Source organism: Homo sapiens, chromosome 12 (genome assembly GCF_000001405.40).
Source record: "Homo sapiens chromosome 12, GRCh38.p14 Primary Assembly".
Lineage (NCBI taxonomy): Eukaryota > Metazoa > Chordata > Mammalia > Primates > Hominidae > Homo > Homo sapiens.
This window is the reverse complement of record NC_000012.12, coordinates 42639915-42660333: the sequence shown is the minus strand read 5'-3', so window position 1 is coordinate 42660333 and position 20419 is coordinate 42639915. Positions and strand designations below refer to the sequence as shown.

Below are 20419 nucleotides of genomic sequence, written 5' to 3'. Positions count from 1 at the left end.
TCTATCTCCAAGCAGAGTTGTTTTTCCTGCCAGAGCTGGCTTAATACTCTCCTCCCAGTACTATGATATGCAGAATGCTGACTCTTTAAGGAGAACACACAAACCAAAGCATACACAAATGCAGGAGAGCATGCAGAAGTGTAGACTAGGGTGAGGGGGCCTCACTTAAGATGCAGCCATTGTTGCTCACAGGTGTTAAAAGAAGAACTTAAGACAAACTGAACTTAACAGAGTTCAGCTGAGCAAGGAACAATTCTCCAGTCAGGCAGCCCCCAAACCAGAATAGGTTCAGAACAACTTCCGCATGTGGTCACAAAGGATTTGTTGACAGAAAAAGGAAAGCAAGGTATGGAAAATGGAAGTGAGGTACCAAAATCACTGGATTGGTTACATCTCAGCCTGTGCCTTATTTGAACACGGTTTAAACAGTTGCTCACCTTAGACTGGCCAAAACTCAGTGATTGGTGCAAGAGTTGGTTACAGTCATTTGACGCAGCCTGTTAGGTTACAGTTCACTACATATGGAGAAACTTTCGGACCAAACTTAAAACATGTAAAGAGGCAGCTTTAGGCTTAATTTAATGTAAGTATAACAGACGAGAATTTGCAGGGCATATTGGAGAAAAGCCAAGCCTCCTATAAAAATCAAATGATTTAATGAAAATGAATGTTTTAAAGGCCTGAACTTGGAGCAAGAGAATAATGAAAGACTGATGATGGTCTGTGATTGCTCATAGCAGATACCAAAATTTCATGGACCTTGCACAGTGGCTTGTGGGGATCAGAACTGTTCATTCTATCAAAGGTTATTTCCAGGGGTTGGGGAACCAAGATGGCCAAATAGGAACAACTCCAGTCTACAGCTCCCAGCCTGAGCAATGCAGAAGACGGGTGATTTCTGCATCTCCAACTGAGGTACTAAGTTCATCTCACTGGTGAGTGTTGGACAGTAGGTGCAGGACAGTGGGTGCAGTGCACCAAGTGTGAGCTGAAGCAGGGCAAGGCATCGCCTCACCTGGGAAGCATAAGGGGTCAGGGAATTCCCTTTCCTAGTCAAAGAAAGGGGTAACAGACGGCACCTGGAGAATCGGGTCAATCCCACCCTAATTCTGCACTTTTCCAACAGTCTTAGCAAACAGCACACCAGGAGATTATATCCCGCGCATGGCTCAGAGGGTCCTATGCCCACGGAGCCTCGCTCATTGCTAGCACAGCAGTCTGAGATCAAACTGCAAGGCGGCAGCTAGGCTGGGGGAGGGGCACCTACCATAGCAGAGGCTTGCATAGGTAAACAAAGCGGCCAGGAAGCTCGAACTGGGTGGAGCCCACCACAGCTCAAGGAGGCCTGCCTGCCTCTGTAGACTCCACCTCTGGGGGCAGGGCATAGCCAAACAAAAGGCAGCAGAAAACTCTGCAGACCTAAATGTCCCTGTCTGACAGCTTGGAAGACAGTAGTGGTTCTCCCAGCACACAGCTGGAGATCTGAGAATGGACAGACTGCCTCCTCAAGTGGGTCCCTGACCCCCAAGTAGCCTAACTGGAAGGCACCCCCCAGTAGGGGCAGACTGACACCTCACACAGCCAGGTACTCCTCTGAGACAAAACTTCCAGAGGAACGATCAGGCAGCAACATTTGCTGTTCACCAATACCCACTGTTCTGCAGCCTCCGCTGCTGATACCCAGGCAAACAGGGTCTGGAGTGGACCTCCAGCAAATTCCAACAGACCTGCAGCTGAGGGTCCTGACTGTTAGAAGGAAAACTAACAAACAGAAAGGACATCCACACCAAAACCCCATCTGTACGTCACCATCATCAAAGACCAAAGGCAGATAAAACCACAAAGATGGGGAAAAAACAGAGCAGAAAAACTGGGAACTCTAAAAATCAGAGTGCCTCTCCTCCTCCATAGGAATGCAGCTCCTCACCAGCAATGGAACAAAGCTGGACACAGAATGACATTAACGAATTGAGAGAAGAAGGCTTCAGATGATTAAACTACTCCAAGCTAAAGGAGGAAGTTCGAACCCATGGCAAAGAAGTTAAAAACCTTGAAAAAAAAATTAGACAAATGGCTAACAAGAATAACCAATGCAGAGAAGTCCTTAAAGGACCTCATGGAGCTGAAAACCACGGCATGAGAACTACATGACGAATGCACAGGCCTCAGTAGCCGATTCAATCCATTGGAAGAAAGGGTATCAGTGATGGAATATCAAATGAATGAAATGAAGTGAGAGGAGAAGTTTAGACAAAAAAGAATAAAAAGAAATGAACAAAGCCTCCAAGAAATATGGGACTATGTGAAAAGACCAAATCTACTTCTGATTGGTGTACCTGAAAGTGATGGTGAGAATGCAACCAAGTTGGAAAACACCCCACAGGATATTATCCAGGCGAACTTCCCCAAGCTAGCAAGGCAGGCCAATATTCAAATTCAGGAAATACAGAGAATGCCACAAAGATACTCCTCGAGAAGGGCAACTCCAAGACACATAATTATCAGATTCACCAAAGTTGAAATGAAGGAAAAAATGTTAAGGGCAGCCAGAGAGAAAGGTCAGGTTACCCACAAAGGTAAGCCTATCAGACTAACAGCTGATCTCTCAGCAGAAACTCTACAAGCCAGAAGAGAGTGGGGGCCAATATTCAACATTCTTAAAGAATTTTCAACCCAGAATTTCATATCCAGCCAAACTAAGCTTCATAAGTGAAGGAGAAATAAAATACTTTACAGATGAGCAAATGCTGAGAGATTTTGTCACCACCAGGCCTGCCCTAAAAGAGCTCCTGAAGGAAGTGCTAAACATGGAAAGGAACAACTGGTACCAGCCACTGCAAAAACATGCCAAATTGTAAAGACCATCGAGGCTAGGAAGGAACTGCATCAACTAATGAGCAAAATAACCAGCTAACATCATAATGACTGGATCAAATTCACACATAACAATATTACTTTAAATGTAAGTGGGCTAAATGCTCCAATTAAAAGACACAGACTGGCAAATTGGATTAAGAGTCAAGACCCATCAGTGTGCTGTATTCAGGAAACCCATCTCACGGGCAGAGACACACATAGGCTCAAAATAAAGGGATGGAGGAAGATCTACCAAGCAAATGGAAAACAAAAAAAGGCAGGGGTTGCAATCCTAGTCTCTGATAAAACAGACTTTAAACCAACAAAGATCAAAAGAGACAAAGAAGGCCATTACATAATGGTAAAGGGATCAATTCAACAAGAAGAGCTAACTATCCTAAATATATATGCACCCAATACAGGAGCACCCAGATTCATAAAGCAAGTCCTTAGAGACCTACAAAAAGACTTAGACCCCCACACAATAATAATGGGAGACTTTAACACCCCACTGTCAACATTAGACAGATCAATGAGACAGAAAGTTAACAAGGATATCCAGGAATTGAACTCAGCTCTGCACCAAGCAGACCTAATAGACATCTACAGAACTCTCCACTCCAAATCAATAGAATATACATTCTTTTCAGCACCACACCACACCAATTCCAAAATCGACCACATAATTGGAAGTAAAGCACTCCTCAGCAAACGTAAAAGAACAGAAATTATAACAAACTGTCTCTCAGACCACAGTGCAATCAAACTAGAACTCAGGATTAAGAAACTCACTCAAAACCACTCAACTACATGGAAACTGAACAACCTGCTCCTGAATGACTACTGGGTACATAATGAAATGAAGGCAGAAATAAAGATGTTCTTTGAAACCAACGAGAACAAAGACACAACACACCAGAATCTCTGGGACACATTCAAAGCAGTGTGTAGAGGGAAATTTATAGCACTAAATGCCCACAAGAGAAAGCAGGAAAGATCTAAAATTGACACCCTAACATCACAATTAAAAGAACCAGAAAAGCAAGAGCAAACACATTCAAAAGCTAGCAGAAGGCAAGAAATAACTAAGATCAGAGCAGAACTGAAGGAGATAAAAGACACAAAAAACCCTTCAAAAAATCAATGAATCCAGGAGCTGGTTTTTTGAAAAGATCAACAAAATTGATAGACCACTAGCAAGACTAAAAAAGAAGAAAAGAGAGAAGAATCAAATAGATGCAATAAAAAATGATAAAGGGGATATCACCACCAATCCCACAGAAATACAAACTACCACCAGAGAATACTATAAACGCCTCTATGCAAATAAACTAGAAAATCTAGAAGAAATGAATAAATTCCTTGACACATACACCCTCCCAAGACTAAACAAGGAAGAAGTTGAATTTCTGAATAGACCAATAACAGGCTCTGAAATTGAGGCAATAATTAATAGCTTACCAACCCAAAAAAGTCCAGGACCAGATGGATTCACAGCCGAATTCTACCAGAGGTACAAGGAGGAGCTGGTACCATTTTTTCTGAAACTATTCCAAACAATAGAAAAAGAGGGAATCCTCCCTAACTCATTTTATGAGGCCAGCATCATCCTGATACCAAAGCCTGGCAGAGACACAACAAAAAAAAGAGAATTTTAGGCCAATATCCCTGATGAACATTGAAGCAAAAATCCTCAATAAAATACTGGCAAACCAAATCCAGCAGCACATCAAAAAGCTTATCCACCATGATCAAGTGGGCTTCATCCCTGGGATGCAAGGCTGGTTCAACATATGAAAATCAATAAACGTAATCCAGCAGATAAACAGAACCAAAGACAAAAATCACATGATTATCTCAACAGATGCAGAAAACGCCTTTGACAAAATTCAACAACCCTTCATGCTAAAACTTTCAATAAATTGGGTATTGATGGGACGTATCTCAAAATAATAAGAGCTATCTATGACAAACCCACAGCCAATATCATACTGAATGGACAAAAACTGGAAGCATCCCCTTTGAAAACTGGCACAAGACAGGGTTGCCCTCTCTCACCACTCCTATTCAACATAGTGTTGGAAGTTCTGGCCAGGGCAATCAGGCAGGAGAAAGAAATAAAGGGTATTCAAGTAGGAAAAGAGGAAGTCAAATTGTCCCTGTTTGCAGATGACGTGATTGTGTATCTAGAAAACCCCATCATCTCAGCCCAAAATCTCCTTAAACTGATAGGCAACTTCAGCAAAGTCTCAGGATACAAAATCAATGTACAAAAATCACAAGCATTCTTATACACCAATAACAGACAAACAGAGAGCCAAATCATGAGTGAACTCCCATTCACAATTGCTTCAAAGAGAATAAAATACATAGGAATCCAACTTACAAGGGATGTGAAGGACCTCTTCAAGGAGAACTACAAAACACTGCTCAATGAAATAAAAGAGGATACAAACAAATGGAAGAACATTCCATGCTCATGGGAAGGAAGAATCAATATCGTGAAAGTGGCCATACTGCCCAAGGGAATTTATAGATTCAATGCCATCCGCATCAAGCTACCAATGACTCTCTTCACAGAATTGGAAAAAACTACTTTAAAGTTCATATGGAACCAAAAAAGAGCCTGCATTGCCAAGTCAATCCTAAGCCAAAAGAACAAAGCTGGAGGCATCACGCTACCTGACTTCAAACTATACTACAAGGCTACAGTAACCAAAACAACATGGTACTGGTACCAAAACAGAGATATAGATCATTGTAACAGAACACAGCCCTCAGAAATAATGCTGCATATCTACAACTATCTGATCTCTGACAAACCTGACAAAAACAAGCAATGGGGAAAGGATTTCCTATTTAATAAATGGTGTTGAGAAAACTGGCTAGCCATATGTAGAAAGCTGAAACTGGATCCCTTCCTCACATCTTATACAAAAATTAATTCAAGATGGATTAAAGACTTAAATGTTAGACCTAAAACCATAAAAACCCTAGAAGAAAACCTAGGCAATACCATTCAGGACATAGGCATAGGCAAGGACTTCATGTCTTAAACACCAAAAGCAATGGCAACAAAAGCCAAAATTGACAAATGGGATCTCAGTAAACTAAAGAGCTTCTGCATAGCAAAAGAAACTACCATCAGAGTGAACAGGCAACCTATAGAATGGGAGAGAATTTTTGCAATCTACTCATCTGACAAAGGGCTAATATCCAGAATCTACAATGAACTCAAACAAATTTACAAGAAAAAAACAAACAACCCCATCAAAAAGTGGGCAAAGGATATGAACAGACACTTCTCAAAAGAAGACATTTATGCAGCCAAAAGACACATGAAAAAATGCTCATCATCACTGGTCATCAGAGAAATGCAGATCAAAACCACAATGAGATACCATCTCACACCAGTTAGAATGGCAATCATTAAAAAGTCAAGAAACAACAGGGGCTGGAGAGGATGTGGAGAAATTGGAACACTTTTACACTGTTGGTGGGACTGTAAACTAGTTCAAGCATTGTGGAAGTCAGTGTGGCGATTCCTCAGGGATCTAGAACTAGAAATACCATTTGACCCAGCCATCCCATTACTGGGTATATACCCAAAGGATTATAAATCATGCTGCTATAAAGAAACATGCACACGTATGTTTATTGTGGCACTATTCACAATAGCAAAGACTTGGAACCAACCCAAATGTCCAACAATGATAGACTGGATTAAGAAAATGTGGCACATATACACCATGGAATACTATGCAGCCATAAAAAATGATGAGTTCATGTCCTTTGTAGGGACATAGATGAAGCTGGAAACCATCATCCTCAGCAAACTATCGCAAGGACAAAAAAACAAACACTGGGCCGGGCGCGGTGGCTCACGCCTGTAATCCCAGCACTTTGGGAGGCCGAGGCGGGTGGAACATGAGGTCAGGAGATCGAGACCATCCTGGCTAACAAGGTGAAACCCCGTCTCTACTAAAAATACAAAAACTTAGCCGGGCACGGTGGCGGGCGCCTGTAGTCCCAGCTACTCGGGAGGCTGAGGCAGGAGAATGGCGTGAACCCGGGAAGCGGAGCTTGCAGTGAGCCGAGATTGCGCCACTGCAGTCCGCAGTCCGGCCTGGGCGACAGAGCGAGACTCCGTCTCAAAAACAAACAAACAAACAAACAAAAAAAACAAAAAAACCAAACACTGCATGTTCTCACTCATAAGTGGGAATTAAACAAGGAGAACACATGGACACAGGAAGGGGAACATCACACACCGGGGCCTGTTGTGTGGTGGGGGGAAGGTGGAGGGATAGCATTAGGAGATATACCTAATGTTAATTGAAGAGTTAATGGGTGCAGCGCACCAACATGGCACATGTGTACATATGTAATAAACTGCACATTGTGCACGTGTACCCTAAAACTTAAAGTATAATAAAAAAATAATAATAATAAGGTTATTTCCTCTTCTTTTTTTTTTTAATCACCAGACCCTGGCTCTGAACTGACAGCAGTTTATTTCATAAAAATGAACTAGAGGCTACCTTTAAGGCGCTTACATTCTAGAAGGGATCAGGGAAGAGAAAATAAACAGTAACACAAGTAAATAATATCAGGTGCTAATAGAAGTATAAAAAATACAGAACAGACTCCTGTGCTGGGGGTTGCTGGTAAGAGGTTGACTGTTGGGAGTGGGGGCAGTAATTTCAGTTGACAGGTGGGGACAGCCTCTGTGAGGGGGGAATATTTGAACTGAGCATGGGAACAAAGATTTCCAACCAGAAAATGCAAAGCACAAAGTTCCTAGCACAGAAAAAGGCTTTGTATTATTTTGCTAGGGCTACTATAACAAACACCACAGACAGGGCGACTTAAACAACAGAATTAATCTTCTCACCATTCTGGAGGCTTGAAGTCCAAGATCAAGATGCCAGGGTTGATTTCTTTTAAGGCCTCTCTCCTTGGCTCATAGATGGTTGTCTTTTCCTTGTGTCTTCACCTCATTTTCCCTCTGTATGTGTCTATAGGTGGAAAAGCAAACCATTTTCCTCTATACTCTCACAACACGCCTGTGACACCAGATGTGTGGGGATTTCTCCCATCGGCAAGCAAGTGATTGCACAGAGGACAACAGCGGGGTGTCCTCCAATTCAACTCAATTCTGACAATATCTACCTGGAGAGGGCATCAGATCACAAAGGTTGAGGACTCAGCTGCACAAGACTGCCCTCCACTTCTGACAACAATTGCAAGCCCCAGGTTATTTTGCCCGTGCTTCTGACTCACCAAGTATAAACCAGGGCTCCCACGAGCTGCTAGAGCAGGTCACAGAACTCAGGGAAACACTTACTTGGTTTATTACACAGGATATTTTAAAGGATACAAATAAACAGCCAGATGAAGAGAGGCATAGGGCAAGATCTGGAAGGGTCATGAGCCCAGGAGCTTCTGTCCGGGTGGAGCTGGGGTGCACCACCCTCCCAGCTCGTGGATGTCTTCTTGTTCATCTTCCTGGAAACTCTCGCATGCTCAGCTATCCACAAGCTCTTCCAACCCAGTTCTTTTGGGGTTTTAATGAAAGCTTTGTTACACAGATATGACTAATTAAATCAATCAGTCATTGGTAATCAACTTAAACCTCAGCCTCTCTCCCCTCCCTGGTTGTTGGGTGGTTGGAGTGTGGGGCTGACCACATGGCTAGTTCTCCCCTGGCAATGAGCACCCCATCATTTGCCCACCCTGAGTTTCCAAAAATCACCTCATTCACACCAGCTCAGATGTGGTTGAAAAGGCTTTGTTACGAATAACAAAAAAACATCTTTCTCCCTCACTTCTCTGAAGCTGTTTCTAGGGTGTTTCAAGAACCCAGGACAAAAGGCCAAATAATTTAACAAAAGATATTCTTATTGCTCTAGTCACTTAGGAAACAGCAAGGCTTACAGGAGCTGAGAACCCGGAATCATGGACAAAACCCAAAATATATACATCATAATATCATGGTCGTATTGAGTATACGTCATATTGGATTAGGGCCCACCCCAATGACCTCATTTTACCTTAACTGTCTCTGTAGAGGCCCCATCTCCAACTACAGTCACATTCTGAGGTACTGGGGCTTAGGACTTGGGCATATGACTTTAGGGGACTGAAAGGGCACTATTTGGCCTCTAATAGGCTGGGTGTGTTTTAGGGATAGAAAGAGCACCAGAGCGGCTGCAGTGTGGTCCATCCAAAGAGAGTAAATTGGGGGAAAGAGGGAGAGAGGACTCTGGATTTTATTCCACCTGTTTTTCCAAGGCTTAGCACAACCATAGCTAAGCCCTTTGTATGACTTCAGTGCTTTATTCAGTGTATTTTATTCTCAATATTTTTTGCATGGCTTACATATATCATTAACTTAGTGTATAGCGTTATATGTTTTCTGTGTTATTTTGAAATCACTGACACATAATAATGATAAAATAGTTCTTATGTCATACTATCATCATGAAGATCTAACTAGATTCAGGTAGGCACTCAGCACAGTCTAAAACATGGTAAGCACTCGCACATGGCAGCTACTTGTCATCCTCCTCATCATCGTGTTAATGGAAAGACCAAACTTTAAAATATTTTAAAGAGGCTTACTGTGAACTTGTATGAGTGACCATGGCCCAGGGAACAGTCTCAAGAGGTCCTGAGAAAGTGTGTCCAAGGTGGTCAGGTTACAGTTTGGTTATATACATGTTAGGGAGATGGGAATTGTAGACCAATTAATAAATCAATACAAAGCCAGGTGTAGTGGCTTACACCTGTAATCATAGCACTTAGTGCGCAGATCACTTGAGCTCAGGAGTTTGAGACCAGCCTGGGCAACATGGCAAAACCCTGACTTCACAAAAAATACGAAATTAGCCTGGCATGGTGGTGCACACCTGTAGTCACAGCTACTCAGGAGGCTGAAAAGGGAGGATCCCTGGAGCCCAGGCAGTCAAGGCTGCAGTGAGCTGTCATCATGCCACTGCACTCCTGGTGACAAAGGGAGACTGCCTCAGAAAAAAGTGGGGGAGGGCAGATTTTATGGTTTGTAGGATGTGACTTAACCCCTGCCTTGCATGGCCTTAGGTCTTCTTTGTAATTTGGTATCCCATTGCCACAAAGATTCTGTTTTGCCAGTCTTGTGACCTCTATTTTAACCTAAACCCCAAAAGAGTACAACAAGGTGTGTTCAGCCTCCCTTCCTGGCATGGCCTGGAATTTCGTTTTTTGGGTTTCTCTGGGGTTCCCTCAGCCAAGAGGGGGTCTGTTCAGTTCAGTCAGTTGGAGGGTTTAGGATTTTATTTCTGGCTTGCAATCATCAGGAGGCAAGCCCTAGTTCCCAGTCAGGGGCAATGTTCCCCCTAAATGCCAAAAAAGAGGACAACTTGAGGCTTGTCCTTGAAAAGCCTTCTCCAGACACTTCCTCAACTAACTACAGAGCTAGCTCAGAACATGAGAAAACAATACACTCGCCATCTTTGGAACACTGTAAGGAGACAGACTTGCTCTGTTTATTGGGATCCACCCACCTGGGACTGGGATTGTGCTGGCCTAGGCTGGAGGAAAGCTCACCCCACAGAGGGAAAGCAGACTTTCTCCCTCACACCTGCCACTGCCTGGCCCAACAGCGGAGCCTCTTGCCGGCCTTTCCCCATGCCCCAGCTTCTAAGGCAGCCCTTCCGTGCAACGCTCCTTCCCTAGCACCTGGAGCTACATAACCCGAACACAAGATAAGTAGAAGGGAGCATGTGAGAGTTTTCTGTCCCCAGTTGCTGGATAGAAAAGCCCTCAGAAAACTCCAGAAGGGCTCTGGTTTGTATGAACAACTGTTTTGTTCCATGGTGAGCAAGTAAGAACTGTTAAGTCAAGTGTAGCCTAAAGGTGCCTCCCTACATATTTTAAGTTCTGCATAAAGGTTTCTCTGTTCATAGCGAACTGTAACTTAACTGGATGTGTCAACAGACTATAGCCTCCTCTTGTGCCAATCACCAAGTTTTGGCCAATCAAAGGAAACCAACTGTTCAAACCTTGTTCAAATAAGGCAAATGCCAAGCTGTAACCAATCTGGCTGTTTCTGTACCTCACTTCCATTTTCCATATGTCACTTTCCTTTTTCCATCCATAAATCTTCCACCACGTGGCTGTGCACTGGAGTCTCTGAGCCTACCTGGGCTCTGGAGGCTGCCCAATTGGCGAATCGTTCTTTGCTCAAATAAACTCCATTAAATTTAATTTAGCTAAGGATTTTCTTTTAATGTAACAGAAGCCTTCAGTGACACTAGTGGCGATAGGTAAAAAGAAGCAGGTGAATCAATCACTTGGGCCACTGGGAAAACTGAAGGAGAGAAACGGGAGCCTCCCAGGATACCTTCGGAGATTTACACCAAAAAAGAGGTCCCACAACTACCTTCTCTCAAACTCATCTAATTCCTCAGCTGTTCCTCACTTCCTACCCCCATCCTGCTTGAACTCATGCCACAGGCCATGGGGATCACCACCTAAAGACTGAAAACGGAATCTCCACTCAGTATTCCCGAACATATGAGGAGACGGGAGAGGCAAAAATAAGTATAAGGGAGAAAGAAGAGAGTAAAGCAGAGGCTGAGAAAAAAAAGGGTAGGGTTATGTTCCTGGCATCCACTTGGGAACTCTGAATACATTCTCCTGATACAGTCAGCTAGACCAGTGGGTAGAAATTAGAGTGGGGCCGGATGTGTGTTTAACAGAAGGATATGTTTTCTACTAATAAGACATGCCCTAATGTTAGTAAGCTGCCTTATGTTATAGAGTGCTCCCAGTCACTGGGAAGATTTAGACAAAGTCTGGATTGCCCTGTGCCAGAGATGGAGTTGAATGGACTCCCTTCTTAGATGGAAAATTGAGCTAAATCTCCCTTTCAGAGGGAGAATCTTTGATAAGTTACATATAGTGAATCTACACAGTACCATAGGTATATTTGTAAAGAGGTAATCTATAAACCATTTGAACTTGTTATTGTTCATTCTTTCAGGTACTGATGTGTAAGAGCACTAACAGGACCATTTGAACAAGTTTACTGAAAAAGTAAAATCCCCTCTATCATGGGTCACATAGGCTCTGATGACTAGCCTGGAGAATGGCCTCATGTATGACTTCGTTTCTATTGGAAAGAATGAGTTCAGTAGGGATTCAACACATTTTTACAAATGTTTTCTTTTCCCGACCACATGTGGTAAGCAGAATAATGCATTCCCCCACCAAAAATATTCATGTCATAATCCCCGAATCCTGTGACTGTGTTGCCTTACTTGGCAAAAGGGACTTCACAAGTGTGATTAAGGATACAGGGCTTGAGATGTGGAGATTATCTTGGATTATTTAGGTAAACTCAAACTAATCAAGAGAATGCCAAAAGCAGAAAACATTTTCTAGTTGAAGCCCATCAGAGGAGATATGTCTATGAAAGAATGGTCAGAGAGATGCAACTTCGCAGCCTTCAAAGACGAAGGAAGGGGGCCATGAGCCAAGAAATGCAGGCAGCCTCTACAAACTGAAAAAGGTGAGGAAAGTGATTTACCCCTAATGCCTCCAGAAAGGAATGCAGCACTTGATTTTACCCAATAAACACCTTTATTTTAACCCAGTGAAATTTGCATTGGACTCTTAACCTATAAGATAATACATTATCTTACCATAAGATAATACATTCATGTTTTTTAAACTATGAAGTTTGTAATAATTTGTTACAGCAGAAATATAAAACTAAGATAACACTAAGGTAATGTCTGCTTATTTTAAGAACTTTGGAAATTTTAGAAAACATTTAAAATAGAAACAAAAGTCACCCTTAATTCTACTCCCCTATAATATCCATTATTAACTTTTTGAGGTACATCCTTCCAGTCTTCTTTTTCTTACAAAATTAAAAGCACCTTTAATCTATATTTAAAAACATAAATGTATACTTTTTCCCCATCAAAAGTAGAATCATTCTTCATGTTATTTTTATGATCTGCTTTTCTTCAGTAGTGTGTGAATATTTCCCCACAACATTATATATTTTCCGTAGCAGTGTTATGTTAGTTACATAATATTCCATCTTACAATTTTAAGATCAAAATTATGTGAACAATTCTTTTAGAAATAGACTAGGTTGTACACATAAACTTGTAATTATAGATTGCATATATGTGTATTTTTAAGTTGTACAATTTTATATTATAATGCAGCTATGTTGTACTCACTTAAAACCTGGAACAGTATGTATTATCACAATTATTTTTTCATCACTTTGTCTTTTCAATCCCATTCGAAGACCTTCCCATTTAGAAGTTACAGATGTGTCATCATTACTTATAATCAGTCCTGCATTGGCCAGCAACTGTCAGGATAGAAAAGTTCAAATGGTTTATAGATTACCTCCTTATAAATACTCCTGCTGTACCGTGTAGGGTAGCTATACCTAACTTATCAAAGAATCTCCCGATTCTTTGATAAATGTTGTCTTCGATTCTTTGATAAATATTGTCTTCAAATAACTGAATATTTGAATCTTCTTATCTCCTGATTCTTTGATAAGGGAAGGGAGATTAAGTTCAATTTTCCATCTGCTAAGGGAGTCCACTCAACTCTATCTCTGGCACAGGGCAATCCAGACTGTCTAAATCTTTCCAATGACTAGGAGCACTAAAACATAAGGCAGCTTAATAACATTAGGGCATGTCTTATTAGTAGAAAACATAACCTTCTGTTAAACTCAGGTCTGGCCCCCCTCTGATTTCTACCCACTGATCTAGCTGACCCTTGGAAGAAATATGCAATAAACTTACACCTTCAAATATTCAATTATTTGAAGACAACATTTATAATCTTTAAGAGTGTGGCTCTGCTGAAGGAATGTTGGGATTTTGAGGTCATAGTAGAATTGTAGTTAAGTGTGGTCTCTCTTAAAGACATGTCATATGAACATTCTGTTGCCAGTCCTCAGTAATATCAGGCAATTCACCTAGAATTCAGAAAGCAACAAATAGAACAATTCCTCTCTCTTGGGACTTCATTTTCTTGGATCTGAATTTTTAAGTCCTGAAGATTCTGAAATATTCCAAAGGATTAGGAGTTTAAAATTCTCTCTTCCTCATGGAGGAAAACCAGGAGATATACAAAGAGGTATCCTGCTAGAGGATCCCAGGCTAACGATGGATTAGGGAAGAACAGGCAAGATTATCTAGTTTATATTATTCTATTTCCACTTTGTTAGTGACTTACACTTAATTACAGTCTTAATAAATATTCTAGTTTTGTCTCAACTGTTATCTGGGTATTATGGCAGGAGACTTATTTAAATATAGATCATGAAGCCCCCTTGGTGTTAAAGGGCAGAATTATCCTCCTGGCAGCAGTAATTAGCAAGAGACCTTTAAGGTAGGAATTACACATAATGTCATTTTTAACACCAATACCAATCAATTAGTAGTGGCTGCCTGAAGCCACATCCAGATTCAAGCAGGAAAGAATGCTTTGATCAATTAGTACTCCTATCAATCATGAATACAACAGAGGAAGTGGCAACACTGGTGAATGATGAGTATCATCCCTGACCTAAAGAAAGTTGCATATCAAGGAACAGGGTTAGGGCCTTGGAGGATCTGGGTTTTCTATAATTAAAAAGGACAATTCTTTTTATTAAGGAAGAAAAATATATTAAGGAAGTTATCATTTACCATATAATTTCACATCATAATTTCTTTGGGCAATTGCCTTCATTTCCTTCAAATGTTCATCACCCAACATGGTTTGCAGGTCCTTTGGCATGTGGATTATGCATGATGAGGCACATTCTGGTTTATCTCTGTACATTCTAAAATGCTGTGCCCAGAACTCCCTGGAAAGGGGTGGAATAGGGAACAGCATAGACAAAAAGATATCCCCAAGTAATATTGGAAATGAAGAAATAGAATAAAAACCACAAAACAGCAAGAATAGCCTCCAACACCTTTATTAAATCTAAGAGAAACAGTAGAGGTGTGTCTAACTAGTATGGCACCACCAAAAAGAAGAGGCAGGCAAAGAATCTAAGGAAGATGCCTCCAGTGAAAGAAACTCCAGTGCTAGCCAGAAACTTACAGTCAAGGGTAGGCAAATTTTTATTCTGCATTTGAAAAAGATTGATAATTTAATAATCATTGCAGAAATAAAGGTGAACTACTTCATTAAATAACATTTAAGAAATAAGTATTAATTACAGAGAAATATAATATTAGAGTTTTATATACATAAAGTAAAAGTACCAAGGCTGAAACACAATTGTAAATGTTCAGTACATTCTTGGGCCATTCCAATCTATTCATTTACACCTATGATTATTTTTCAAATGTACCTGAAACTAAAAATCACAGGAAAGAATAAATTTGAAGAGTATCTATTATTCCTTAAGAGAACCATGTGGTCTCTAATTAAAAGCTGTGTAGTCCAAAGACCTCGTATAAGGCTGGCTCAGTCCCAGAAGTAGCTCTCCTGGCTACACGTTAGAGATACCTGGAGAGGTGTTTTGTGCTTGTTGTTTTGTTTGGTTGTTGTTTTTTTTTTTATTTTTTTTTTTTTGAGACGGAGTCTCGCTCTGTCACCCAGGCTGGAGTGCAGTGGCGGGATCTCGGCTCACTGCAAGCTCCGCCTCCCGGGTTCACGCCATTCTCCTGCCTCAGCCTCCCAAGTAGCTGGGACTACAGGCGCCCGCCACTACGCCCGGCTAATTTTTTGTATTTTTAGTAGAGACGGGGTTTCACCGTTTTAGCCGGGATGGTCTCGATCTCCTGACCTCGTGATCCGCCCGCCTCGGCCTCCCAAAGTGCTGGGATTACAGGTGTGAGCCACCGCGCCCGGCCTTGGTTGTTGTTTTTATTAATTCCAAAGTTAGCCAATTAAATCAAGCTTAATCTGCAAAAACCTCTTCAGAGGATTCTAATCAGAAACCAGGTTGAGTCCTACATAAATTCTAACGCAGTTTTGCCTACGTTAGATTTGCTAAATTCAATTCTCTAACAACTACTTAATCCAGCATGCCAGCTGGTAGGATGAAAATTGACCATGAGCTAGGGAAATTAAATTCTTCCTGCTCTGTTTTTATCAGATAACTCCTCTCTGTTCCCAATTAAGCCATGACCCAGTACTTTCTCATTTATGTAAATTGTAGATGATGTGTCCAAGCGAGGAGGACATAAGAGAAGCAAGGTGCCAAATAAAGAATGAGAGGTCAAATGTGTAAGTAATAAAAGTATTTCTTCAATCACGTTTGTCAGTTCAAAGCTACGAAGACTTGGTTCCAAAAGTGCAGATATTTTTTAACAAAGTAAGAGCATTTGGTACATTTTTTGGCAGATGGCAAGATAAAGTCCATTTGCTTAAGAAGCCACTCCTTCTTTGATGTGGTTAATTATGACCTCTTGGGGTACATACCAACCTTATCAAAATCCATCTGGGTAGTGCTGTGTCTTGTAAAAATGCCTCCTCTTGTTTTACTATTAGTATTGCTTTCATGTCAACAGTGTTCTTGACACTGCATAATCCCAGGAAGACGGGGTTCCAAACCAGTGATTTGAAACCTAAATAACAGACTCAGCAATTGAGACATAAAACTACAGGTGGGAATGTGGGCAAATTTGAAGATTGTAAGTTTCATTTCATTTTTCTTCAACCTTCCTTTTGTCGTCCATCAATCTATACTTTTTTTTTTTCTTAGACGGAGTCTCCCTCTGTTGCCCAGCGTGGAGTACAGTGGTGCAATCTCGGCTCACTGCAACCTCCACCTCCCAGGTTCAAGCAGTTCTCCTGCCTCAGCCTCCTGAGTAGCTGGGATTACAGGCACATGCCACCACGCCCAGCTAATTTTTGTATTTTTTTCTTCTTTTTAGTAGAGATGGGGTTTCACCATGTTGGCCAGGCTGGTCTCAAACTCCTGACCTCAGGTGATCTGCCCACCTCAGCCTCCCAAAGTGCTAGGATTACAGGCATGAGCCACCATGCCTGGCCCATACTTTTTCTCATTTTCTTTTCTGTGTTACAGAATACAATTTGCTGACTGTAAGGGGGAGAGTTTTTTTCCCCAAAATGCCAAAGTACATAAAGATAAAGGTGAAAGTTTCCTCTCACCAGTTCCAGTGTTAACAGTGAGGTATGTGTTATTCCAGACATTTGTTCCCATGCGTATACAATACTTAACTTTCACTGTTGCTTTTTATTAAAAATTAAAACCATTTCACACAATATGAGTTTTGTAAAGACTTTTTAGGAAAGAATTTTCTTGTCAGTCTGATGGATTCAGAGGGAAAAGATCTAAAGGATAAGTGTGGGCAAGAGGAAAAGACAAAAATGGAACTAGAAGAAAATGAGAGAAAGTCTTCATCAATAAATGGAGAATTAAAGAAAGACTTCGCTATTGCTCAAACAGTTAAACAGAGGCAACAAAAACAATATGGAAAACAAAAAGTCTCTATCTTATTCTCAGTGGTATGTATACCCAGGGCATCAGAACATAGCATAGTAGGTGCTTAATAAATATTTGTTTACTAAATGAATACCATACAGTCTCACTTGTGTTGCATGGCCTAGATCAAATTAGAACCCAGGAAGGCAGAGGTAAGTTTATAATAGTTAACAAGACAAGAAATTAGCTCAAGGAAAGCATTTTGATATTGAGAGACATATTAACATTTGATGCTGGCTTATACATGTTTAAGAGAAAGAATCCAGAGGTAAAATAATAGGAAAAAGCCAAGATAGATAAAATATAGTTATTAATTACAGCAGATACAGAAGGAAAACTATAAAGTATTTGTTAGAGAACGTAACCAGACAGGGTAAGTTGGGGAGCCCAGAGAATGAATCAACATTTGTGGAGTTATAGCATGTGCCAAACTTTTTTTTTTTTTTTTTTTTTTTTGAGACGGAGTCTCACTCTTGCTGCCCAGGCTGGAGTGCAGTGGCATGACGTCGGCTCACTGCAACCTCCGCCTTCCGGGTTCCAGCGATTCTCCTGCCTCAGCCTCCGAAGTAGCTGGGATTACAGGCGTGTGCCACCATGCTTGGCTAAGTTTTTTTGCATTTTTAGTAGAGACGGGGTTTCACCATGTTGGCCAGGATGGTTTCAAACTCCTGACCTTAAGTTATCGGCCCACCTCAGCCTCCCAAAGTGCTAGGATTACAGGCGTGAGCCGCCGCACCCAGCCAGCACGTGCCAGACTCTTTCACCTGGGTTATTTTATTCATCTGCATAACAAATCTGCAAAGGAGCAATTAATGATCTTCATTTAAAGATATGAAAACTGAGGCTCTGAAAGGTTTGGGGTCTCAAACCTCTTAGATAATAAAGAGCAGAAGCACTTTTCCAAACCAGGCCTTGGTCCTGTAAGCCCAGGCCTCACTCCAATTGACCGAAGCTTCCTCCAGAGCAGTATGTTGTGGGAATAAGCTCATCGGAATTGTAAACAGTAGCGTAGAGTCTCACTATTCAGAGCAAGCTATAGGGACCATTATCATGGGCATCAACTGGAAGCATGATCTTGGGCCCCACTCCAGAATTACTAAGCAACAATCTGTATTTTAACAGATCCCTAGGTGACTGGTATGCATATTAACATTTGATAAGCCCTCATTTGTCTATTTCTTCTTGCAATTAAAGAGAGAGAGAAGCACTCATTAAACATCATTTTCCCTGAATTCAGCACCACCCATTTGGGAGAATTTCAAGGATTCTCTAAAACTAAAATGCCTGGAAACAGTGAGAAGCTAGTTTCCATTAGGTGCCTTGCCAATTGCATACTGGACTCTCTTTAATCATTGCATCCTTGTTATGTACATATCAAATGGTTCATGTAGTGGAACAGAATAAAACAAGTCAAAAGTCAGGATTACTCTGATTCAGTGTAGAGTAGGCTGATACATCTCAGCAACATCCACTTAAAATGCAATTCTCTGCCCACGTTCTTTCCTTTCCTTCCTATCCAAAGATATATGACAGCCAACTTTAACTCCACCTCTACTGCTTAGACCTCAAAAACAACCACTCACAGGCTGTGCATGTGTGTGCTGGGGATGAAAAAGCACATACTTTGGAAACTCTCCCAGAGCTTCTATGCACTACTAGGGTTTAGGTAACCAAGTCTTAGAAGGCCTTATTCTGGTGTGGTCCCTCCCACTCACTCACCCAGAAGATGCAGCTGGCTCTAGACAACTGGAAGTACAGAGCTCTCTGTCATTCAGTACCCAAGGGCCTTGAGAAAGCCATTCGTCCTTTCTGTGCCTCAAATGCCTCACCTGTAAAACGGGCCTTACCTAGTTCACAGGGAGACCAGGAGAATTAATTAGTGTTTGTAAAGCTCTAAGATACCCTAGATGAAAGTGGCTATATAAGTGTAAATGATTATCATTATCATTATTATTATTATTACATAAAGTATGGATGACAGATTAAGTATGGGATTATATGTCAACCTCCTGGGGATGGCAGATTTCTGGATAAACAAAAAGTGCTGTAGACTATTATTATCCACCTGCCTTTCCCATGTCTGTTCAGGAATGCATCATCATGTTCAGTAGGCTAATCATACAGCAAGAAGTCTTCCTTAGTTCACCAGAGATGAATTCAGAAGAAATGGTAATGAATGAAGACTAGAAAATCTCTTAAACTGTGTATCTCCAAGATAAAGCAGAATTTGCTACCCACCTAAACTGTAATCATCTGATAAACGGGGATGGAGCAATTTTGAACCCAGCCTATCACTGAACCAAGTTACCAAGTCAGTCCAATTAAAAGTTTGCATTTTCCTTTCAGACGTACTACAAATGAAAGTATAAATAAATGCTCAGAAAATTTAAAATCTCTGCCAGATGATCCCTCTGCATAACAACAAAGTAAAGGAAATCTGTAGGGGATTAAGGCCACTTCTGTTCACCCTGAGTAAAACTGAATCAGCCTCACAGCAGATGTTCTGTCCTCTTTTTTCCTTTTCTGTTTTTTTTTTTTTTTTTTGCTACAACCTGGCCCTACAGTGTATGTGTGTGAAGAGGCTGGAAGTTCCAGGTGCCAGCCAGGCAGATCTGCCACATATAGAAACCAGAAATTCTAGGAAAAATAGTTAAATAAGAGGTACTTAATGTAGGTTCCCAGCACCCTATGGGCATCGTGGGTCTGAAAGTTTTCATATGCATGTGAATTTTTACACAGCTTTCATAGATTTTCAACAGTTTCTGTGACCTCAAAGGATTAAGATCCAAATGTTTTCCTCCCATTTAATTTCGCTCTCTGTGGACACACACAATTTCAGTTCTCCTGAAATCCTAATTCACAGTGCTTCCTGATACGGAAGTGATACCTGCGTCTGATAACATGGTTTTCCCAACAATTTCTCCACTCTGATATGCTGGCCATTATTAGGAAGAAGCTTAAGTCAACACGAGTCATAGAACCTGAATCTGGTTCTAATTTTATGTTTAGTTAGGAGTATTTTTGGTGTTCCAAACCTTTCTCTATTTGAAATAACATTTGTGCTTTGCTGTTCAGATTTTTTACTACACT

General features: G+C 41.2%; 2 long non-coding RNA genes across 3 annotated transcripts in view; one reads left to right on the top strand and one right to left on the bottom strand.

Moving 5' to 3' along the window:
• The window catches only part of LINC02451 (long intergenic non-protein coding RNA 2451), a 40119-nt gene extending 26368 nt beyond the window's left edge, over positions 1–13751 (bottom strand). For both annotated transcript variants that reach the window (NR_135027.1, NR_135026.1), the window contains exons 1-3: positions 13680–13751; positions 13095–13231; positions 7751–7874 (exon numbers count right to left, since the gene is read on the bottom strand). This is a non-coding gene — a long non-coding RNA (long intergenic non-protein coding RNA 2451). The remainder of the gene's footprint in view (positions 1–7750; positions 7875–13094; positions 13232–13679) is intronic.
• Positions 13752–13835: 84 nt separating this feature from the next.
• The window catches only part of LINC02402 (long intergenic non-protein coding RNA 2402), a 30996-nt gene continuing 24412 nt past the window's right edge, over positions 13836–20419 (top strand). The window contains exons 1-3 of the long non-coding RNA NR_110042.1: positions 13836–14064; positions 16040–16107; positions 16910–17017. This is a non-coding gene — a long non-coding RNA (long intergenic non-protein coding RNA 2402). The remainder of the gene's footprint in view (positions 14065–16039; positions 16108–16909; positions 17018–20419) is intronic.